At 41.0% G+C, this 25,170-nt stretch overlaps 1 protein-coding gene across 40 annotated transcripts in view; it reads right to left on the minus strand.

The window, feature by feature from the left end:
* The window catches only part of ATE1 (arginyltransferase 1), a 188,040-nt gene that overhangs the window by 149,869 nt on the left and 13,001 nt on the right, over positions 1-25,170 (minus strand). For 12 of the 40 annotated variants that reach the window (NM_001439364.1, NM_001439362.1, NM_001439365.1 and 9 more), the window contains 5 exons: positions 23,498-23,601; positions 20,614-20,859; positions 12,099-12,328; positions 9,574-9,702; positions 8,549-8,677 (listed from right to left, as the gene is read on the minus strand). In NM_001439364.1, the coding sequence (NP_001426293.1) occupies positions 8,549-8,677; positions 9,574-9,702; positions 12,099-12,328; positions 20,614-20,859; positions 23,498-23,601 (838 nt within the window). The remainder of the gene's footprint in view (positions 1-8,548; positions 8,678-9,573; positions 9,703-12,098; positions 12,329-20,613; positions 20,860-23,497; positions 23,602-25,170) is intronic. The other 28 variants (NM_001439374.1, XM_047424530.1, NM_001288736.2 and 25 more) reach the window with 8 other exon arrangements.

Consider the following 25,170-nt stretch of genomic DNA (forward strand, 5'->3'; position numbering starts at 1 on the left):
TACAAATTATCATTAAGTTTCTCATGCGTTATAATTATACCACGTCTTGTAGAAGCACATCTCATTGTTTGAACATGTATGCTAAAGAATTTAGTAGTAAAATGTCATGATATATAATGGATGTTAAAATGACTCATACACAAAAAAAAGATAAAGCAAAGAAAAACTAACAACTGTTGAAACTAGGTGAGGGATGTACAGGTCATCAGTATAATCAGTAAACCATTCTTTCAATTTTCCTTTATGTCTGATAATGTTGATAATAAAATTTGGGAAACAATTAGTCAGTGAATGCAGAAGTATGATGAGATTACTGGGTTTATGACTAGGCTGTTTTTGAGACAGTAAAGAAGAGATGAGAGGTCAACTCTATTCTAGGAAACCAACGGCACATATTATTAGACAACAGTATTTTCTAAAGAATAACATCAATAGAATTTCAGCTAAAATCTCATGTTTCTATCACATAGAATTACTGGTATCCTGAAAAATAAAGATTCTTAAAAGTTAGCTTTATACTGTATTATAAACGAGACAGGTCACAAATTACTCCAATTTATATCACATTACTTTCTGAAAATCTGATATCTACCTGAATGACTGAAAACAGTCATGGAAACACACATACTGGATTAATTTACAAAGTCCTATATTATTTCACTATTTGCAATTATGTGCTACTTTTCTAAAGATGTTGAAACGGCTCCACTGTCTGAGGTATATACCCTGGTTCTTTGTCACGGTCAATAAAGAATTCAGGACACAGACACACGAGGAGAGGGTTTAGGAGCAGAAAGTTTAGCAGACAAAGAAAGAGAAAAGGCTTCCTCAAGCTGAGAAAGTGGGTTGCCCAAAAAGGGTCTCCAGTTTGTGGCAGAAGGCAATCGGTTTTGTACAGAGGACTGAAGAGGTGGTAACTGATTTACATGGGGCTCAGGGGATTGGGTTGATCGGGTATGCCATTTATATAGCCCTCGAAAAGACTGACCCTCCCACCCTAGTCTTTTATTATGCAAATGTGGCCTCCACCAGGTGGTGGCCATGATACCTGAACATGTGATTTTACATGGAGGTTACCAGGATGCCGGCACATGGTGGCGACAGGAAAAAGAGGGCAGGAGAGACCATATTGAATATACCTGGCTTGCAGGTACAGCTGCCTGCATTTACATATAAAAGCTTCTAGTTTGCATATCTATGCCTGACTCCTCAGGGTGCTTTCTGTTAGAGAAGAAATGGTTTAGAGCTGCTTTTTATTAAAGGAAAATTCCACGGAGAACTTTTACCCTTTCTAGCTGCCTAAAAATTATTTCTTAATGATGTCTGTATTAAGGTTACTGAAAAGAATTGCTTAGAATAGCCAGGCAATCTATATTTATCTTTGCATCAAATTTCTCAAAAAATAACCTATTTTTCAGAGTATTTAAATGATTATTTTACAGAGTCAGACTGGATTTTATGCACTAATGTGGTTGGTTACCTGAAATCTTCAAATAGGCATATTAACTGTTTTTTACTTTAAATGTTTTCCAACGAAAAAAGCAAAAAATGTATTTTCTTGAACATAATTAGTTTTCCCTCTTATATTAACAAAACTACACCACAGTGTGATACTGTACAGAGTCCCTTAAAGCAAGTCAGTATAATGCAAACTTTTCAAAGAACTTTTTTGGCTTCTCTTTCTGCATTAGAGCAGAAAGAGAAGAAATGAACACTGGCCATTTCCTGACGTAGAAAACTGTAGTCATGTACAGGGGAAAAGTACATTTGAACTCCACACCAAAATTAGCTTCTTTCAATATAAAACACCATGCTTCAAGACTGGGAAGCCAAGTAGCACATCCCAATCAGTTTTTCTCAGCAGTCAGCCCCACAGATAGTGCACTCTCTATCTGTAGGCCAAGGGTTTGCCAAGTGGAGAAAGAATTTCTAGGATGAAAACACGACCGGTGAAGAATCTCATCTGCAGCAGTGACCATCTCCTTAATAGAACTATCACTAGGGCAACTGGCAGGTTAATCCCTGTTAATGAGCCCCAAATTTAATTATCTTACCTGGACCAGAGGTGTCATTCAAAGAGAGCACAAGAGTGGCAGAAAGATTTGGGGGAGAAGGGAGGAGGGGTTAGGGAAAGGGGGTTCCTCAGTGCTCTTTATTTGGAAAAGAGATACGGGGAAGTTTGGGTGGGACACAAACGGTGACAAAACTTTTTTTTTTTTTTTTTTTTGACACAGTCTCCCTCTTGTCGCCCTCGCCAAGGTTGGAGCGCAATGGCACCATCTCGGCTCACTGCAACCTCTGCCTTCCAGGTTGGAGTAATTCTCCTGCCTCAGTCTCCTGAGTAGCTGGATTACAGGTGCCCTCCACCATGCCCAGCTAATTTTTGTATTTTTAGTAGTAGGACCCTCCAGAGGGTTTCACCATGTTGGCCAGGCTGGTCTCGAACTCCTGACCTCAGGTGATCCACCTGCCTTGGCCTCCCAAAGTGATCGGATTACTGGCATGAGCCATGGCGCCCAGCCTCAGTGGTAAACATTTTAAAAAGATCAGGGAGAGACAAAAAGAACACTATTAAGACCACTGACATCCAGGGTGACTGTGCATATGCCCCAGGCTGAGCCCTCTAGGGCGTGACATCAGAGGCTTCTCATAAATAAATACATACTGTCCTTTCTTCTCTTCACTGACTTAAAAAGCAATTGTAGGCCGGGCACGGTGGCTTACGCTTGTAATCCCAGCACTTGGGAGGCCGAGGCAGACAGATCACGAGGTCAGGAGATCGAGACCATCCTGGCTAACATAGTGAAACCCCATCTCTACTAAAAATACAAAAAATTAGCCAGAAGTGGTGGCACACACATGTAGTCCCAGCTACTCGGGAGGCTAAGGCAGGAGAATTGCTTAAATCCGGGAGGCAGAGGTTGCAGTGAGCCAAGATCACGCCACTGCACTCTAGCCTGGGTGACAGAGTGAGACTTAGTCTCAAAAAAAAAAAAAAAAACAAAATTGTAAAAACGTTATGTAGATAATTGTACCATTGGGACAATAACATGGAGAAAATTAATGTATTTGACAGTAATTTCATTAAGTAGAGAGGAGCAAAGCTATACTAGAAGGTAATTTGAATCCATAGAACAAATGAGAACCAGAAATAGTAAATAAACTGGTTAACGTAAGAAATTATAAATAACTAATTGTTCTTATTCCTTTTCTCAACTTTATAAAAGACACAATTATATAAAGGAATAATTATAATTATTGAATTTTTAACATAGATACATGTAATATGTATAACAATAATGGCACAAAAAAGGGAAAGAGGGACTAAAATGATACAGAAGTAACATTTTTTTACATCTCTCTGGAATTAAGTTCATATAAATCTGAAGTCAATTGTGTAAATTAAGATCTCTATCTTAAATACTAGAGCAGCCACTGATATCTTAAAAATATATAGTGAAAAAAATCATTCAAGGAATTAAAATGTTACACTAGAAAATATTCGTTTAATACACTAGAAAATATTTAATGCAAAAGCAAGCAGTAAAAGAGGAACAGAGGAAGGCTGGGTGCGGTGGCTCATGCCTGTAATCCCAGCACTTTGGGAGGCCGAGGCAGGCGGATCACCTGAGGTCAGGAGTTCGAGACCAGCCTGACCAATATGAAGAAACCCCGTCTTGACTAAAAATACAAAATTAGCCGGGCGTGGTGGCACACGCCTGTAATCCCAGCTACTAGGTAGGCTGAGGCAGGAGAATCACTTGAACCCGGGAGGCGGAGGTTGCAGTGAGCCAAGATTGCGCCATCGCACTCCAGCCTGGGCAACAAGAGCGAAACTCCATCTCAAAAAAAAAAAAAAAAGGAACAGAGGAAAAAAAAAAACATGGACATATCGAGGAAATGGAAATGGAAGTAAAATGGAAGGCATAAATTCAACTAGTTCAATCAAAACATTAAATGTGAACTGATTTAACACTTCAATGAAAAGGGACACTGTTCTCCCTATGGACTTTAAAAAACCAAAAACAAAAACCCAGGTCAATTACATGGTGTCTAAAAGAGGCACACTTTACATTCAAAGACACAAACAGATTGAAGGTAAAAGGAGGAAAAAGATGTGTCATGCAAACAAGAATCACAACATGGAGTGGCTCTACTAAGAGCAGACAAAATAGATTTGCACCAGGAAATGTTCCTAGGGATATAGATAATTCACAAAATGAAAGAGTCTAATCACATACATAAGAGACTTGTACCCAGAATATATATAATAAACTCCTACAACTCAGTAACAAAGACAATCCAATTAAAAAATGAGCAAAGGGTGCCGGGTGTGGGAGCTCACGCCTGTAATCCCAGCACTTTGGGAGGCTGAGGCAGGCAGATCACGAGGTCAGGAGATCAAGACCATCCCTGGCTAACACGGTGAAACCCCGTCTCTACTAAAAATACAAAAAAATTAGCCGGGCGTGGTGGCGGGCACCTGTAGTCCCAGCTACTTGGGAGGCTGAGGCAGGAGAATGGCCCGAACCCGAGAGGCGGAGCTTGCAGTGAGCCGAGATCGCACCGCTGCACTCCAGCCTGGGCGACAGAGTGAGACTCTGTCTCAAAAAATAAATAAATAAAAAATAAAATGAGCAAAGGGTTAGAATACACAATTCTCCAAAGAAGAAACGCAAAAGGCCAAAAAGCACAGGAAGGGAGATGCAAATCAAAACCATAATGAGACACCACTTTACACATGCTACAAGTAATATAAAAATCAATTTTAAGAAAAAAGAGACACAAGTGTTGGTGAGCACATGGAGGGAGAAAGCAGAGCCCTCATACACTTCCGGTGGGAATGGTAAATGATTTCACTCTCTGAAAAACAAGTCTGGCAGATCCTCAAAAGGAAAACACATGAGTTACCACGTGACCCAGTAATTCCACGCGTACGTATACACCCAAGAAAATACACATCCACATAAAAACGTGAACGTGAAATGTTCATAATAGAATTTTCTATAAAAGCCAAACAATAAAAACCACCCAAGGCTGAGCACGGTGGCTCACGTCTGTAGTCCTAGCACCTCGGGAGGCCGAGGCGGGTGGATCACGAGGTCAGGAGTTTGAGACCAGCCTGGCCAACATGGCGAAACCCCATCTCTACTAAAAATACAAAAAAACAAATTAGGCAGGTGTGGTGGTGGGCACCTGTAATCCCAGCTACTCGGGAGGCTGAAGCAGGAGAATCGCTTGAACCTTGGAGGCGGAGGTTGCAGTGAGCAGAGATCACGCCATCGCACTCCAGCCTGGTTGACAAGAGCGAAACTCCGGCTCAAAAAAAAAAATTCCATCAATGGATGAGTGGAAAACAAAATGTAGTATATCAGCCAGGTGCAGTGGCTCACATCTGTAATCCCAGCACTTTAGGATTACAGGAGTTTAAGACCAGCCTGGCCAATGTGGCAAAATCTCATTGCTACTAAAATACAAAAATTAGACGTGGTGGCACATGCCTGTAGTCCCAGATACTCAGGTGGCTAAGGCATAAGAATCACTTGAACCTGGGAGGCAAAGCTGCAGTAAGCCAATATGGCACCATGCACTCCTGCCTGGGCGACAGAGCAAGACTCTGTCTCCCCCCACCAAAAAAAAAAAAATCAAACATGTACTAAGCATTAAATAATATACATTTTGCTGGGTGTAATAATGGTACTGTAGTTATATATTTTTTGATGTCTATATTAATAACTTTTAATCTAAGAATAGAGTTCCCTTTTTAAGTGCTTCTTTATTAATTTATTTAAAGAAACTAGGTAATTTATCTAAGTGCCCAAGTGTCATTTTAACGTATTCCTTTACCCCTCATATTTCCTGTGAACTGGTCAGTAGATCTAGAAGCTTGGATAGATCCAGATTCAATTTCTTTAGCAAGAACATTCCACAGGTGGTGGTTTATACTTCTTACTGGATTACATTAGGAGGCACGTATCTGATCATCCCACATTTTAAGTCAGTTAAGATACATACTGAAGGACTTAATTATAAAATGATATGTCTGAGATTTGGTATAAAATAGTACAGCAAAATAACAACAAAAAAGTATGGAGAGATAGATTAAACAAGAATGGCAGCATGTTGAGGCTAGTTGAAGACTGCTGATAGGTATGTCGCAGTTTAAGTATTTCTAAAATATTATTTTTTTAAAAATCTGGCTCCTACCTAAACCTCCAAAAAGCCTCATCCCTTGGTCGGGCACAGTAGTCCACACCTGTAATCCCAGCACTTTGGGAGGCCAAGGTGGGTGGATCACCTGAAGTCAGGAGTTCAAGACCAGCCTGGCCAACATGGTGAAACCCTGTCTCTACTAAAAATACAAAAATTAGCTGGGCATGGTGGCACACACCTGTAATCCCAGAGACGCAGGGGTCTGAGGCAGAAGAACTGCTTGAACCCGGGAGGCAAAGGCTGCAGTGAGCCCAGGCTCAGTGAGCCAAGATCACGCCACTGCACTCCAGCCTGGGAGACAGAGCAAGACTTTGTCTCAAAAAAAAAAAAAAAAAAAAAAAAAAAGCCTCATCCCCTATTACCTCCTAACAGGTACTCTATGTTCTGGCCATACTAAACTAAGTATTAATAGTAGTTCCTCAAAATGGCATACAATTTTACCCTCCACACCTCTGCATTTTGCTAGTCCTGCTGCCCAGAACACCTTTCTCCCTTTTTGTCCTGGCAAACACCTACTCATCTTTCCAGACTTGGCTCAAATGTCACTTCCCTCAGAAAAACCTCTCTAACCTCCAGTTTCACACTAAGCTGGCTGTCCCTACTAATCCAATGGCTAATTCTAAAGGCACTGGAATTGCATACCTGTCTACCACCCCAATTCAGACTATGAATGCCTTTAGTGCTGCTCTAAGTCTGCATAAAGGGACTTCCCAGAGGCCTGAAGCCTACTAGGAGAAGCTCCTGGGGAAGTCTTGAATAAATACACCGGGCCACAGAAACATTTTGTCCAACTATTCCTACCTGCTAAGCAGGGAGGTAGAAAGGCATCATCTCCAGAGCACTAGGAAGGAGGAAAGTTCAGAAAGCAAAAAGACCCCCTGAGAATATCAAAGGAAGCTTCCTAGGCCTAGCAGAATCCTTACTATCTGCAAATGCTATCACCCACAGTGGCATGGATCAACAGGGAACCTAGGACATAGCCTCTCAAAACTGAAATGTGCATCTGAATCCTTTGGAAACCCAGTTTAAGATGTAGATTCTGGCCGGACCCGGTGGCTCATGCCTGTAATCCCAGCACTCTGGGAGGCCAAGGAGGAAGACCACAAGATCAAGAGATCAAGACCAACCTAGCCAACATGGTGAAACCCTATCTCTACTAAAAATATAAAAATTAGACGGCTGTGGTGGCACGCGCCTGTAGTCCCAGCTACTCAGGAGGCTGAGGCAGGAGAATCGCTTGAACCCGGGAGGTGGAGGTTGCAGTGAGCAGAGATTGCGCCACTGCACTCCAGCCTGGCAACAGAGCAAGACTCCGTCTCAAAAAAAAAAAAAAAAAAGTAGATGTTGAATGAATAGGACTGAGAGTCTGTGTTCCAGGTACTGCTGATGCTGCAGGTCTGCAAATGACACTTTAACCAGAAGACTCTGGGGGATCTGGGAAGTGAGCCCTTTCTCAGGGAACATGCAGCATTAACTCCTGTTGTATTAACCCTCTCTTTTTAGCTTACACATCGTGTCATTAAAAAAACAAAAGCAGTCAAAAAATCAAAACTCTAATTCTTCTGCATCTGTTGGCCTCTTTCTTCCAACATACCATGGTTCTACTGTGACAACGATGCCATCTCATTCATTTCAATATCCCAAGACTGACAAAGACAGACCCTCAATAAACGCCCGTTAAACCATATTATATCTAACAGAAGGTCCCCAACTTATAATGGTTGGACTTATGCTTTTTCAACTTTACAATGATGGAAAACGATTCCGTTTTTCACTTTCAGTACAGTATTCAATAAATTACATGAGATATTCAACATTTTATTATAAAATAGGCTTTGTGTTAGATGATTCTGCTTAACTGCAGATTATAAGTGTTCTGAGAATGTGTAAAGCAGGCGAGGCTAAGCTATGATGTTCGGTAGGTTAGGTGTAGGTATTTCTTTCTAATTCACTTGTTGTTAAGGTATTTTTGCTTATTGGTCTGTCTTTCCCATTTGATTATCAATTTCTTGAAGACAGAGACTCCTTTTGTTCTGTGGTGCACAGTCTGGCACACGATGGGCACTCAGTAAATGACTGTTGACCTAGAGTGGATGACTGACCTTATAAACCACTACTTTCAGGTTCCTAGAGAAAACACTAAGAACGCATCCTGAATTTGCAATCCTTTTTTCTAAGGATTTAAAATGCTCACATGTATGAGTCATGTGAGTGTTCACAGAAGTTCAGTAATACACACTGAAAGGGTCATCAGCTCCACCTGACAAGAAAATGGTATATATTATACTTCTTCCCAGACAACCTTATCAACACAGAAAACAACAGTTAACAATACCTCAGTCTTCCCACATTCATCGGGTGGATCCTGGTGTATGGCCACTTGATACTTGACATACAAAGAAAAGGACTGGCTGAAAGACGACTTGAACTCTGGGTCCTCAAAGGAGACAGGTACTAACCTCACCTTCAGAGCAAGGAAAATACAAGCAAATGCTATTGAAACATCTCTGATGATATGCTTCTGAAGGTGAGGCTACAGTAAGATCTCCACAAATCCACGCCAAAGCTCGAACTCGAATTTGTCATGAAAAGAAACCTTAGACGAGGCAGACGGGTGCAGAGACCGAAGTGCTAACTGTACTAAAACTTATGAAAATCTCAACCTCATAAGAGCCAACAATTTGTTCTTTTTTTTTTCTCTCTCTCCACTAATTGTAGTTTTCTGCATAAACTAGAGTCAATATTGTTGTTAATCATGGTGATGATCGCTACTTTTGCCACCTCTACTTATACTAAGTGTTTTAAGCTTTTTTCCTTTACAGATTTTTCTTGGGTCATTTAACTTACAAAATTATTAGCATATGAGTTCTTCTATTAAAATGTTCTACTATCTTCCTTTTTTAGTCCCACTCAATTGTGCAAGGGTAGCACATTAATAAAGAATAATTTAACTGGGATCAATTATTCCTACATACATCTTTCAAATACAGATAAAGCATTAAAATCATGTTAGGCAAAGTACGTATCTACCATAAAAATATAGTTTCCTGAGTTTTCCTCACAGGTATTTTAATTTAGAGCTCTATTACTATCTTTTAGATAAATGCATCTAAAATAGTGACTTTAAATAATTTTACATGTTACTTTGACTCTGAAATTATACATGGCTGGTACTTAACATGGCACTAGGTAAAATTTGCACTTTCAGAATGTCCATTAATTCAGTCTTAGGTCTTTGCAGATATGCTGCAAATTGAACACAAATAAAATGTAGCACAAATAAACCAAGATTTCATTAAATGATATTAAGTGGAAGGGAAAGCTCTGTTTGCACAGGAAAATTACACTTGGCCTGCTGACCTGGCTTTCGGTTGGCGTATCAGGTGGGTTCTTGTGAATAACCATCTGGTAACGTTTATAGACCTGGTAAGACTCCAGAAGTGTGGCTTTGAACTGCGAACTTGGTGGAGATGATCTCACCACCCTCACCTTCAGAAGCAGTTAAAAAAACAAGTTTACTAATTCATTCATTTATTCATTCTGTGGAATATGCATTAAGAGTAACTCCCATCCAAGAAACCAAGTTTCAACAATTATTAAAGCACCTAAATATTTTAATATTAAAAACCAACCAGTTAGTAAATAAAGAAAAAAGTTATTTTTGTAACTTACAGACTCATTAAGAAGAGGACGATCCCCTCTAAACTATAAGCCTCAGCTTTCATGACTGAATTATGTAAGCCTGCCTCTACTGTAAACTGGCAGAGTATTTCCAGCACTCGTACACACACGACACATACACACACAAATAAATACCCTCTAGTTGTGCACAACTACCAGTAATTCTAAGAAAGACTAAAAATATGAATACATTTTTTGGCCACTCATTCATCATTGCTAACCCTCAACTTAAAACTTGACTGTTTGAGTTAAAAAGACCTCATAAAGTTTTCCTACTTCATAGCATAGTTAACAACCATGACTCTGAAGTCACATTTCCTTTGTTCAAATCTTACAATGTCACCATCTTGGTCAAGTAACCTTGTAAAATAAGGATAAGTTTAAAACAGTAATTGCACGCAGTAATGGCTAACATTTACTTTAACATTATTTACTAGCCACTTAAAATGTATTAGCAAAACAGAACAGTAAAACAGTCAAATGCAATGCAATGAAAACAGCTGGAAACTGGACATGTGTGCCGTGAGACGTAATTCTATGAAGAAAGAGCGACACCCAGTGGTAAAAGATCTCTATACATCCTGAGTATCATTACATTCAAAAAGTACAAGTAACCACTGGAGAACTGTTATGTTAAGCGTGCTTGGCCTCCTGAATACATTACTATTTATGATCAAAGATAAAAGACACCTTGTAAAATATTTTAAGTAGTGTATTCAACTCTGTTTACAATTTTGGAAGGACAAAAAAATCTGTATCCAAATCAGAGTAGCCAAGGAGTTATAAAAGCTAAAATCTGGCCAGGCAAGGTAGCTCACACCTCTAATCCCAGCACTTTGGGAGGCCGAGGCGGGTGATCACCTGAGGTCAGGAGTTCGTGACCAGCCTGGCTGACATGGTGAAACCCTGTCTCTATTAAAAATATCAGAAATTAGCCGGGCGTAGTGGTGGGCACTTGTAATCCCAGCTACTCAGAAGGCTGAGACAGGAGAATCGCTTGAACCCAGGAGGCAGAGGTTGCAGTGAGCCGAGATCGCGCCATTGCACTCCAGCCTAGGCAACAAGAGTGAAACTCCGTCTCAAAAAAAAAAGCTAAATTCTACGTCTGATAATACATATACTGAATTAAGGCTTAGAATGCATGAAAGTTAATTTTTATTATCAGGACTTCAGTGATAAGTGATATTTTTAGATGATAGTAAGCTACAAAATTCAAAGGCTGACCAGTTACTAATCACATATGAGAATAAGATAAAAATCATTATGGCTAATGTTTTTGAATTTTTTTGAGACAGTCTTTTGCTCTGTCACGCAGGCTGGAGTGCAGTGGTGTGATCTCAGCTCGCTACAACCTCCACCTCCTGGGTTCAAGCAATTCTGGTGTCTCAGCCTCTCTAGGAGTTGGGATTACAGGTGCACGCCACCACGCCTGGCCAATTTTTATATTTTAGTAGAGACGGGGTTTCACTGTGTTGGCCAAGCTGATCTCAAACACCAGACCTCAAGAGATCCACCTGCCTCGGCCTACCAAAGTGCTAGGATTACAGGTGTGAGCCACCACATCCAGCCCTTGTTTTTGAATTTTATATATGAGAAACTAATACTGAGAAATCTTGATCTGATCTAGAAACGAAAATAAATTTGGAAAAATGGAGGAATTTGGCTCTAAAAGTATTCATATTATGCCCAAAGTGGTTTTGGCACTAATGAGAGAGGATTTCAGCAGTACAATTTAGCCCTATTTAGATAATTCCTAACTGCTGGCTTATGTATATGACACCATTTGCTGTCTTTACCAAGATCAGAATATTATAATGGATGAAATAGTGATTTGCCTTGTGTAATCTATTGTCTTTCACTATCTAAACCAAAACTGCTAAAAACACAATTTTAAAGAGTATTTCTTTCATTTTAACTATTAAATTTCAATCAAGGTAGCATGCTAAAATTGACACTGTTTTCACAAGTTTGGTGGCCAACTATGTATTCTCAAAAAGTCTTTTAAAAAAAAAGGAGTTTCCCTCAAACAGCAGTTAACTTAGTAAATACAAATGTTACTTCTTCCCAGTTCTCTTTAATTTCTTTTAAATTCTCATTATTTAACTAGCAAACATCAACTAATTAGAACTTCAAATAAAAATAAACGATATGCCCAAACAAAAAAAAATCATAATAAAACAAACAACAAAAGTCCTCCAAAGTACCTCTAACTTGTGTGATGCATTCTCTGGTAAAGACTCAAAAATTAAATCTTCGAGTGATTTTGGCTGGTTGGATTTAGCCTTTGGTGGAAACAAAGATGGTGGGTGACCTTGAGCCTGGAAACCCTCAAGTTCTCCAGCTGGGTTCTGCTGCATTAGTTTTAACCTTTTCCTTTCTTTCCGGATTTCCTTTGCTTTTCGACATGGAGGCTTACTCAAATCAGCCCCTTTGCCTAAAAAGAATTTTAAAATATTAGACCAATCACATTTGGTTCTAGAAAAGTTTTTTCACATGTCTCAAAGATTCTACAGTGTAAGTCCAAAGAGTTTCAATGGTTAGGCTAGCTTTGGGGTAGATGTTTCAGAGGATCCTGATACAGAGCTGTAAGTGGATCTAAAATTCTACCTTAGAAGTGGGAGTTGCTAGAGAAAGTAAATAGCACAGAAACTTTCCAAGGTGGCTCTTACTGCTGAAAATCTTTTTTTTCTTTTTTTTGAGACAGAGTCTCGCTCTGTCACCCAGGCTGGAGTGCAATGGCATGATCTCAGCTCACTGCAACCTCCGCCTCCCAGGTTCAAGCAATTCTCCTGCCTCAACCTCCCGAGTAGCTGGGACTACAGGTGTGTGCCACCGTGCCTGGCTAATTTTTGTATTTTCAGTAGAGATGGAGTTTCACCATGTTGGCCAGACTGGTCTCAAACTCCCTTGGACAGACTGGTCTCAAACTCCTGACCTCGTGATTCACCCACCTTGGCCTCCCTAAGTGCTGGGATTACAGGAATGAGCCACCAGGCCCGGCCCAAATATCTTTTTTTAAAAAAAAACATTCATCCACTTCTCTGCCTTTGTGAGGAAGAACACAATCAAATCAAAGTACCTGCTGCATTAAAAGGACACTGCTATCTCTGCCCAACATTTCTGAGGGACATTTCTCTGAAAGCACTGGTAACATAAATACTTAGGAACCAGGTATAAAGGAATACTGATCCCAGCGCAAACACTGACAGGTTTTTTTAAATTAAAAGAATCCTTGTGCACCTGGAATTCTAGCACTTTGGGGGGCTAAGGCGGGCAGATCACCTGAGGTTGAGAGTTCGAGACCAGCCTGGTCAACATGGTGAAACCCCATTTCTACTAAAAATACAAAAATCAGCCAGGTGTGGTAGCACACACCTGTAATCCCAGCTACTCAGGAGGCTGAGGCATTAGAATCACTTGAACCCAGGAGGCAGAGGTTGTGCTGAGCTGAGATGGCACCACTGCACTCCAGCCTGGGCGACAGAGTGAGACTCTGTCTCAAAAAACAAAAAAGGAATCCTTGCTTAGTTGAAGGTATCTGTGTCTTTCTCCAAATACTGCAGGTATTTGGGTCTCATTAGTTCAGCTGTAGTTAATCAGAGTTTTGTTCTAATTAACAGACCAAATATCAAACTGACATCCCTTTAAAATAAAAAAATTTTTACTATTATAAACTAAATAAAAATACTTAGAAAAAAACCTGGAAAGGAGACACCATGGTAACAGTCATTTTACTTTGTTTCAGAAACAGAGACAGGATTTACCTTTCTTTGTAGTGTTCTCTTTTCTCCAAATTTTCTTTTTTTTTTTTGAGACAGAGTCTCGCTCTGTCACCCAGGCTGGAGTGCAGTGGCGCCATCTGAGCTCACTGCAACCTCTGCCTACCGGACCATTCGAGCAATTCTCCTGCCTCAGCCTCCAGAGTAGCTGGGAATACAGGTGTGTGCCACCATGCCTGGCTAATTTTTTGTATTTTCAGTAGAGACGGAGTTTCACCATGCTGGTCAGGCTGGTCTTGAACTCCTGACCTCGTGATCCACCTGCCTTGGCCTCCCAAAGTGCTAGGATTACGGGCGTGAGCCACCGCACCTGGCCGAATTTTCCAACAATGAACATTATGCTAGTAATTTTTTAGAAGATATTAAAGAAATAAGGTGTTTAAGATCCCAAAACAGCCCGGTGCAGTGGCTCATGCCTGTAATCCCAGCACTTTGGGAGGCCGAGGCAGGCAGATCACGAGGTCAGGAGATTGAGACCAACCTGGCTAACACGGTGAAACCCTGTCTCTACTAAATATTAAAAAAATGAAGCAGGCATGGTGGCGCACGCCTGTAGTCCCAGCTACTTGGGAGGCTGAGGCAGGAGAATTGCTTGAACCCAGTAGGTGGAGGTTGCAGTGAGCTGAGACTGCGCCACTGCACTCCAGCCTGGGTGACAGAGCGAGACTCCGTCTCAAAAAAAAAAAAAAAAAAAAAAATCCCAAAACAGGGTACTCACAAACCATATCAAAGTCAGCAAAAAAAAAAAAGGTTTATAAAACTAGCAAATTCAGTTTTTAAAGAGAAGAAAATCAAAACCTAGAGTGGTTAAAGGGCTTGCCTGAGACCATAAGCTGATCAAATGAAAACCAATCTGATGAGAAAATAGTGAGTTCACAAACAGTTCAGACTGTATCACAACTTCATTAACATGTTTTCTAACTAAAAATAAAGTTTACTTATTAAAAAATGACTTTAAATAAGCCTAAGTTAAGTCTGAACCAGGTAACAAAAGACCATTTCTATAACTATTACTCTACTGACCAACAGAATTACTTTTCTTGGACTACAGACTGTGTCTTTTCTCAAATTTGCTCTGAGCACACACACTCTGTCTGACACAAGCTGCCTGAGGTCATGGACGAGGCTCTGTCACTTGGCTAGCTGACCTTGGGCACGTTTCCCTGTCTGTACAAGAAAAACAAAAACCAGTCCTACCTATAGAGTTCCTGTGAGGATTAAATGAGTTAATACCTGTGCAGCTCATAAAAAATTAACTGCCATTCAATTAGGGTTAACTATTATTATTAGCTATTATTTGTATTACCAACATCTAAAATAATGTTTTACCTATATAAACATTCCATAAATAGTAATTTTCAAAACCTTCCATTTTCTATACTGAAAATTACATTCCTTACAGAAGTTATAAATTTATAAGCAAATTTAAAACTAACATGAACTAAGAAACACACATTTTCAGCATTTTTATGAAGGACTGACTACCTGTATCGTCTTTACACTAATTAAGTCACTGGGCTGGGTAAGTCTTCTCATGATTGTTTTGCTCTACATTTATAAATACTACGTTACTACAGTGGAAAGTAGGATTTCAGGCGGGGCTCAGTGGCTCACGCCTGTAATCCCAGCACTTTGGAAGGCCGAGACGGGCGGATCACCTGAGGTCAGGAGTTTTGAGACCAACCTGGCCAACATGGTGAAACCCTGTCTCTACTAAAAATACAAAAAAATCAGCCGGGAGTGTCGGCGTGCACCTGTAGTCCCAGCTACTTGGGAACCTGAGGCAGGAGAATCGCTCAAACCCAGGAGGTAGACGCTGCAGCAAACCAAGATCACACCACTGCACTCCAGGCCTAAGCAACACAGCGAGACTCTGTCTCCAAGAGAGAGAAAAAAAAGTAGGATTTCAGCATATTAGGGGATACAGATCTCCCAGGTCAATAAATTGCTTCAACAGAATGAAAATAGATCATCAGTGTAAAATCAGTACACTATACCAACCCTGCACCCACAGAGGTTCAAAGCAACTCAAGAATTCCTGATTAGTCCCAGGTGATTTAAATAGAGTTTAGGAGACCTACATAATTTCTAATTAAGTCCAAGGGAATAGATTTGTAATATTTTTTAAATTAAAATGGAAATGCAAGCTAGCCATGATGGCTCATGTCTCTAAATCCCAGCACTTTGGGAGGCCAAGGTGAGAGGACTCCTTAAGCACAGGAGTTCCAGACCAGCCTGGGCAACATAGCAAGACCTCATCTCTACAAATCAACTTTTTTAGGCCAGGTGTGGTGGCTCACGCCCGTAATCCCAACACTTTGGGAGGCTGAGGCAGGCAGATCACTTGAGTCCAGGAGTTCAAGACCAGCCTGTACAACACGGCAAAACCCCCTCTCTACTAAAAATACAAAAAATTAGCCAGGTGTAGTGACGTGTACTGGTAGTCCCAAGTGCTCCAGTGGCTGAGGTGGGAAAATTGCTTGAGCTTAGGAAGTCAAGGCTACAGTGAGTCCTGATCGTGTCACTACACTCCAGCCTGGGAGACAGAGTAAGACCCTGTCTCAAAATAAAATAAAATAAAATAAAAAGGAAATGCAGGTTTGCTTTTGCAGGTTCCAAAAAAAAAAAAATCCAAGGTTTTTTGTTTGTTTGAGATGGAGCCTCACTCTGTCACCCAGGCTGGAGTGCAGTGGCGTGATCTCAGCTCACTGCAACCTCTGCCCCCTGGGTTCAAGCAATACTCCTGCCTCAGCCTCCTGAGGAGCAGGGATTTCCGACACGCACCTCTACCCCCAGCTAATTTTTGTATTTTTAATGGAGATGGGGTTTCACCATGCTGGCCAGGCTGGTCTCAAACTCCTGACCTCAGGTGATCCGCCTGTCTCGGCCTCCCAAAGTGTGGGATTACAGGTGTGAGCCACTGAGCCCGGCCAAAATCCAAGGATTTTTAAATAGTCTCGGATTTTTAGTGAGAGATACCTTAAGTGAAAAAAATAAGAACCCTGCAAAAATAGTTTTTAATGTTTCAGTAACCATACTGCTGGAAGTAAGGTTGTTATTCTAAAACTGTGTAATGTGGGAAAAAGCAAAAGGTTAATGTGTGATATTCTAATCTAATTTTACCATCCTCAGTGTTCTTGAGAACTAGGTTTCTCAGTGCAGAAGAAACTACAAACATCAAAAAAAAAGAAAAAGATAAAAAGGTATGGCTGGGCACGGTGGCTCATGCCTGTAATCCCAGCACTTTGGGAGCCCGGGGCAGGTGGATCACTTGAGGCCAGGAGTTCGAGACCAGCCTGGCCAACATGGCAAAACCCCATTTCTACTAAAAGTACCTAAAAGTACAAAAATTAGCCAGGTGTGGTGGTGCACACCTGTAGTCCCAGCTACTCATGAGGCTGAGGCAGGAGAATCACTTAAACCCGGGAAGCAGAGGTTGCAGTGAGCTGAGATAGCGCCATTGCACTCCAGCCTGGGCAACAGAGCGAGACTGTGTCAAAAAAAAATAAAGAAAAAGATTAAAATGCGGCCAGACACGGTGGTTCACACCTGTAATCCCAGCACTTTGGGAGGCCGAGGCGGATGGATCACGAGATCAGGAGGTCAAGATCATCCTGGCTAACACGGTGAAACCCCATCTCTACTAAAAATACAAAAAATTAGCATGGTGGTGGGCGCCTGTAGTCCCAGCTACTAGGGAGACTGAGTCAGGAGAATGGCGTGAACCCGGGAGGTAGAGCTTGCAGTGAGCCAAGATCGCACTACTGCACTCCAGCCTAGGTGACAGAGCGAGACTCCGTCTCGAAAAAAAAAAAAGATTAAAATGCTGTAGTCCTGAATTTGAATTGGAAATATCAGTATGAACTCATAACCTCATAAGTCTATTTGCCAACGAAGCCTAGAAAACAATGACCAAGCCAGCAGCAATAATGTGCACTCCTAATCTAGTGTGTGATCTCCAAATACCAATTCCCACTAAAAGGAACCACAACTGCTCGAAGAAATGCCTGTACAAGATGCTCCAGGAGCATAATATCATGCCAAATAGTAAGGAAGCTGTCAAAGACTACCAGGATTATGTCGAAAGGCCTCAAAAGCCAACTTAAAGAAGCTTTCAGAGGAGCAACAGATTGCAACAGCAGTATGTTCAGATCCATGAGTTCCCAATGATACCAACAAGAAAACTAACTGGTCACTGTTAGACGTTATTTTGAAAAATGATAAATAAAAAGAAGGAATCAAGAATGTATCCTACCAGCCGGGTGCAGTGGCTCACTCCTGTAATCCCAGTACTTTGGGAGGCCAAGGCAGGTGGATCACCTGAGGTCAGGAGTTCGAGACCAGCCTGGCCAACATGGCTAAACCCCGTCTCTACTAAAAATATAAAAAATTAGCCAGCTGTGGTGGCATGCACCTGTAATCCCAGCTACTCTGAAGGCTGAGACAGGAGAATCACTGGAACCCGGAGGTGGAGTCTGCAGTGAGCCCAGACCGCGCCACAGCACTCCAGCGTAGGCGACAGAGTGAGATTCTTTCAAAAAAAAAGAACATATCCTGCCTTTGCTATGGGTTTTTATGAGAAACAAACAGATGAGCGGAAGGCTGTCTTTATAGAAGCAGTCCAGCCAGCCAGGAAACGAAGAAATGATAGAGTATCTAATACATGAATTTAAGCATGGAACATCCATGACTATTAGCACTAACAAAAAGAGAAGCACCCAGACATTACACATCTCCTGAAAGACCACTCTAACACCCATGAAGTGATCTTGCCCATCCTCAAATAATTCAAACTCAAATCTGATTAAGACTTGCCCCCCTGCCCCACGGCAAAAAAATAGACAAAAGAAAATTTAGCCTAGAATCTGATCAAGGCTCTATATCCAACTATCAATTTATAAGCGGGCAGAGGAACATGTTAAACTGCAAACGTAACCTGTCAGATACAGAAAGTGGAACAAACAACCCAAGACAAACAACCCAGTTGAGGAATGATGGAAGGGGAATATCTAGAACAAAAGAGATTGTTGTTGTTGTTTTGAGACAGGGTCTCATTCTCACCACCCAGGCTAGAATGCAGAGGCACGATCTCAGCTCACTGCAGCCTCGACTTCCCAAGCTCAGGTGATCCTCCCACCTCAGCCTCCCAAGTAGCTGGGACTACAGGCATGCACCATAACACCTGGCTAATATTTTGTATTTCTAGTACAGACAGGTTTCACCATGTTGTTCAGGCTGGTCTCAAACTCCTGGGCTCAAGCAATCCACCTGCCTCGGTCTCCCACAGTGCTGGGATTACAGTTGTAAGCCACCACTCCTGGCCGTAAGAGATTTTTTAAATATATCAACAATCACAATATGTGGACATTATCTGGATCCTAACACAAACAAATGTTTAAAAATTGGAATTTGAACACTATTCAATGGCATTAAGAAATTTTCTTCAAGTATAATAATGGTATTGTGAATATTTTTTTTAAAGTTCTTATCTTTTAGAAACGTATTCTGAAATACAGGATATCACAATGTCTGGAATTTGCCTCAATATAATTTTGGAAGGGGGAACTAGATGAAACAAGAGTGGCTATGACATGAGTCAGTAATTGTTTCAAATGCAGGTAGAGTACATGGAAGTCGATTATACTATTCAATCTATGTTCATCTATGTTTGAATAACGATTTTTTAAATTTGACAAACTATAAGTAATTTTATTAAAAAATAATAAAAGAATTGACCCTACCCCCCAGAGAGAAATAGTTGAAAGAAACTGTCTGAATTATTCAAAATATTTCACTGGGAGCTGGGCACAGTGGCTCATGCCTGTAATCTCAGCACTTTGGGAGGCGAGGGTGGGAGGATAACTAGGTGAGGAGTTGGAGACCAGCCTGGGTAATATAGTGAGACCCTGTCTCTACAAAAAATTTTAAAAGAACTAGGCATGGTGACAAGCTCCTGTATTCCTACCTACTCAGGAACCTAAGGCAAGAGGATCACTTGGCCCCAGGAGCTCAAGGCTGCAGTGAGCTATGATCACGCCACTTCACTCCAGCCTAGGCGGCAGAGCAAGACCCTGTCTCAAATTAAAAAATAAATATTTTCTTGAACTATTAGTATTAATTAGGATGAAATCTCAGACCAAAATCAACTTAACATGAAAACCTTATGTAAAAAACTATTCAATAAAATTGCAAATGGAGAATTTTCTCTACTTTAACATGTGTAACATAGTTTAGACAAGAAAAACTAAAATAGTACTAAAAATCTTTCCCTTGGATCATTTGGCATAAATATAAGAACTAATTCAAAAACTGACACATCTAATAAACTAATAACCATCCAACTTCACATTTCACGAAATAATTTTAAAAGAGTCATATACACACATATTAAATTCATTTAATACTGGATAAACTTATTAAGCCTAATTCTTTTATAAGTAATAACATAAAAAAATCTTACCTGATTAAAGGCAAAGTTAAACATCAAAATCTGGACATTTTAAAACTAAAATACACTAAAATTACATTAAAAAATTTAATGATAAACTGAAGAATTTTATAATGTCTGTATTTTGGACATAATAACTATAATTCATGTTGTCTCACTTAATGTTAAAATAAGAATGTTTATCACTCCTTTTCACTGAGAAAAATTTGATTCTCAACCCTGTAAGGCCCTAAAGTAGTAAGTAGAAATGGAACTCTTTGAAAATATCTGTATTTAGGGATAAGGCTATTGTTACAGGCTTTTTAAGCATAGTAGTTTGTAAAAGGCATGATTTGTCCATCTAATTCTAGGCAATAATAAACAAAGCAGGGTTCTGTTTTACAGACTGCACGACTAAGTCATCCTTTTGGCTGATGGAAAGACCCAGGGTTTAAAATGACTCAGCAAAAAGCAAAGCCGTGAATATGACTTGGTATCAAAAATCTTTACTACCTGGCTTAGGAACTGTGTGAACTTTAACTGAATGTGACGGTTCACCAGAGCCCAACTTCTCTCCTACGAAATCTTGTGACTGAAGTAATTCCTGAGGTTCTTCTTTCTTTGAATTTTTTCCTTCACTCTCTAAACTCTCTTTGATGTCATCACTGAGTGTTTTAAGATCACACTGTATATCCAGTTTATTTATCAATGCAAAGTCACCCGCAACAGCATCATCCATTGTGGAATCCATGGGCTCATCTACAAATCAGAAGAAATTAAAAATCCATCAGCTGGGTTATTTGATACAGTTAGGTAAATACAGAAATACAATGTTCCTATTATCCATTGTGGCAGAATTACTATCTGTCCACCAAATCCATTCTCATCCTCCAAAATAAGAGAGCTGCACTTAAGACTGGCACAGCTGGGCATGGTGGTTCATGCCTGTAATTCCAGCTCTTTGGGAGGCCAACACAGGAGGACTGCTTGAGGCCAGGAGTTTAAGACCTGCCTGGGCAACATAGTGAGACACTATCTCTACAGTAAATTAAAAAAAAAAAAAAAAAACAAAAACTGTGGCGCCCTAGCAGGGCAATGTACTGCCAGTCCCTTTACAAGTGGTGACCAAGCTCCTGCCAACAGAACATAACACAACTGATACATCCAATTATGCCTCACTAGTTTTAAAGGAAACTTGCGACCCTGAACTTCTACCCTTCCCCACAATGGCTGGATTAGTAAAAACCAGAGCAACCTGGGAAATCACATGTTAAAGAAAAGCCCAGAATGGCTGGTGGGGAGAAGAGTTGAACGCCAACCTAGAACACCCACACTGAACTGTTATGTGAGGAAAGAAACAGACTTTTTTTTTTTTGAGGAGTCTCCCTCTGTCGCCCAGGCTGCAGTGCAGGGGCGCGACCTCGGCTCACTGCAAGCTCCGCCTCCCAAGTTCACGCCATTCTCCTGCCTCAGCCTCCCAAGTAGCTGGGACCACAGGCGCCCACCACCATGCCCAGTTAATTTTTTGCATTTTTAATACAGACGGGATTTCACTGTGTTAGCCGGGATGGTCTCGATCTCCTGACCTCGTGATCCACCTGCCTCGGCCTCCCAAAGTGCTGGGATTACAGGCGTGAACCACCATGCCCGGCCAAGCCCGGCTAATTTTTTGTAATTTTAGAGAAGACAGGGTTTCACCGTGTAAGCCAGGATGGTCTTGATCTCCTGACCTCGTGATCCGCCTGTGTTGGCCTCTCAAAGTGCTGGGACTACAGGTGTGAGCCACCACACCCGGCCCCGAAAGAAACAGACTTTTATCTTTCTTTTAGTTATTGCATTTTGGTATCTTTTTGTCATAGCTGTTTATTCCTTTACTCTAATGAGTACATCACTCCTAGTTCCAGGCACAGATAATTCAGAAGCCTGTAACAAGTCAAATAAACAACCAAATATAAACACTACAAAAGAAAGAGAGGCAGCCAGATGTGGTGGCTCACACCTGTAATCCCAGCACTTTGGGAGGCCAAGGCGGGCAGGTCACAAGGTCAAGAGTTTGAGACCAGCCTGGCCAACACAGTGAAACCCCGTTTCTACTAAAAATACAAAAAAATTAGCCAGATGTGGTGGCGGGTGCCTGTGGTCCCAGCTACTCGGGAGGCGGAGACAACAGAATGCCTTGAACCCGGGAGGTGGAGGTTGCAGTGAGCCAAGATTGAGCCACTGCACTCCAGCCCGGGCGACAGAGCAAGACTCCGTCTCCAAAAATAAAAGAAAGGCAACCACCAATTTACAAATGGACAGCATCTTCAATGCTTATCTCCATGTTCATTTTTCTAACTCAGAACCTAATTCCTTTTTTTTTTTTTGGTGGAGACAGAGTCTTGCTCTGTCACCTAGGCTGGAGTGCAGTGGCAGGATCTTGGCTCACTGCAGCCTTGACCTCCCTGATTCTTGTGCCTCAGCCTCCGAGTAGCTGGGACTACGGGCGTGCACCACGAAGCTCGGCCAATTTTTTGTTGCTCTGTCACCCACGCTGGAGTGCAGTGGCACAATGTCGGCTCACTGCAACCTCTGCCTCCCAGGTTCAAGCGATTCTCCTGCCTCAACCTCCCAAGTAGCTGGGACTACAGGCGCCTGCCACCACGCCAGGCTAATTTTTTGTATTTTTAGTAGAGACAGGGTTTCACCATGTTAACCAGAATGGTCTCCATCTCCTGACCTCATGATCCGCCTGCCTCGGCCTCCCAAGGTGCTGGGATTACAGGCGTGAGCCACTGCCCCCGGCCCCAATATGAAAATTTAAAGAAATAAAACCAAAATTAGTAAAAAGACTAAGAAAAAAAGCAAATCATGTGTAACTAAAGTTAAATAAATGCTATTATGTTTTAGCAAAGCCACTCACAATTCAAAACTGATCACACAAATAAGAGGATTTCAAACAGTATAATTTACTGAAGTAAAGCCTTATTCAAACACAGAAAAGCTGATCTTTATTCAGCATTAAAAGGAATAGGGCAATCTTGTCCAAGCTGCATGTAAGCACTTGCTTCTTGAGAGACAATGGCACTTTCTATTTACTTCATAAGGATAGTATTAGGATCAAGAAAGATGAGTTATCAAAGCATTCTGGAAACAGATATTTTGATAAACTCCAAGAAATCACAAATTTAACATGATCCTCAATATTCTTTCCACGCTAAACTCTTCTGATATATATTCCCATGCCTTGACTTGGGGGCCGATGGTAACAGTAATAGCAGTGCTAACAGTAGTCGCTGTCATCATAGTAGTAGCAGTACATGACTGTATTAATGACCCTTCCCCTTCCCAAGATGACTGAAAGTGGGACCGTTGCAAAGACAGATAGTAAATCGTTTTTAGACCCAGCCCATCTTACCCTCACAACTTCCTTTGGGAACCTCCCCTTTAGCTAGAAATTTCAACATTTTTTTCAAAACCTTCTTGTGAGATTTTGAAGGCTGAAATTGTAAAGGTCGGCACCTAGGAAAGCAAAATAAATATTTAAAAAGTGAACTCAAACCTTGAAGAAATGAAATCAGTTCTGGATATCACCTAGTACAATGAGACCATCTCATGCCTGAGATTTCTGGTTAAAGATGGGGCTTAATGTAGCCTCTAATCCCAGCCCACATCACACTAAGATTATAGTTAAGAGATTTTTTTTTTCTTTTGAGATAGAGTCTCACTCTGTCGCCCAGACTGGAGTACACTGGCACCATCTTGGCTCACTGCAACCTCTGCCACTCAGGTTCAAGTGATTCTCCTGCCTCAGCCTCCTGAGTAGCTGGGATTACAGGCATGCACCACCATGCCCTACTAATTTTTATATTTTCAGTAGAGACAGGGTTTCACCATGTTGGTCAGGCTGGTCTCAAACTCCTGAACTCGTGATCCACCTGCCTCGGCCTCCCAAAATGCTGGGATTACGTGCATGAGCCACCATTCCCAGCAAGAGATTTTTTTTTTTTTTAAAGAGAGAAAGACATAAAACACTAGAAAAAAGAGAAGGACAGAAGTGTTAGAAGCTGGAAAACAGATATACAAAGCAATGCTGTTTTAACAGACCAAAGAAAGTTGAATCCTAGGCCAACAGTGGAAAAAAAAAAAGCCAATTTTCTCTATATTACCCTTAAAAGTCTTAGGGATTGGTGACACCTCATAGCTCTGGAAATATGAGTGAAAGTTAGGTCTAAAAATAGAAAGATCCCTTCAAAGTCTTGTTTTCGAAGCAGTTAGGATAGATGTCAGATCCCCTCTCCCATCCGCAGATGACTAGACGACTCCCTACTCAACCCAGCAGAAAACTGCAAACTTGCAGGAAAGAGTAACATAGAGCCTCTTACAGGATGGATGCAAGCCACAGCTGAAAGCAGCGGTACTACTGAAAACGGCTTAAATAAAAGTGTACACAGTACATGTTGAGATCACCAACCCAGGTCCAGAACAACAGCAGGTTATGAAATACTTTCTCTCCAGAATGTGATCAGACCTAAAAATACTAACATCAGGGATTCCCCAACAGAAGAGCCCAGCCAGATCACCCACAGTAAACAAGGCCGAGAAACACCCAAGACCCACAGTAAACCAAACCCATCAGGTACACGGAATTTCCAATGGAACACTGAAAAGTCAGAATCACCAGACACTCGAGAAGAGCCTCCACTGAAAAGATAGGTACCGAACAAACTGGAGAAAGTAACCTGGAGGACATAGACCATGACAGAAAGAAGAGAACCTTTTAAAAAAATCCTTAGGAAGATCTCGTTTATTAAGCCACTACATCCATAAAATAACAAGGTGTTATTAAATAAACAAATAAGAGTCTGAGAACAAAAACAACTTCAAAAGTAAAAATATGACAGGAGAAATGTAAAAATTAAGTAGAAGACCTGAAAACTGAAGTTGAAGAAACCTTCCAGAAGATTCTGCAAAAAAGATGAAAAACTGAAGAGAAAAGGTAAAGTCAGAGACTAGTTTAAAAGGTCCAAAATCTAAATAAAGGCATTAAAAAAGAAAATGGAGGTGAAAAGATAGAATAAAAAATTTAAG

This window comes from Homo sapiens, chromosome 10, assembly GCF_000001405.40.
Source record: "Homo sapiens chromosome 10, GRCh38.p14 Primary Assembly".
NCBI classification, from domain to species: domain Eukaryota; kingdom Metazoa; phylum Chordata; class Mammalia; order Primates; family Hominidae; genus Homo; species Homo sapiens.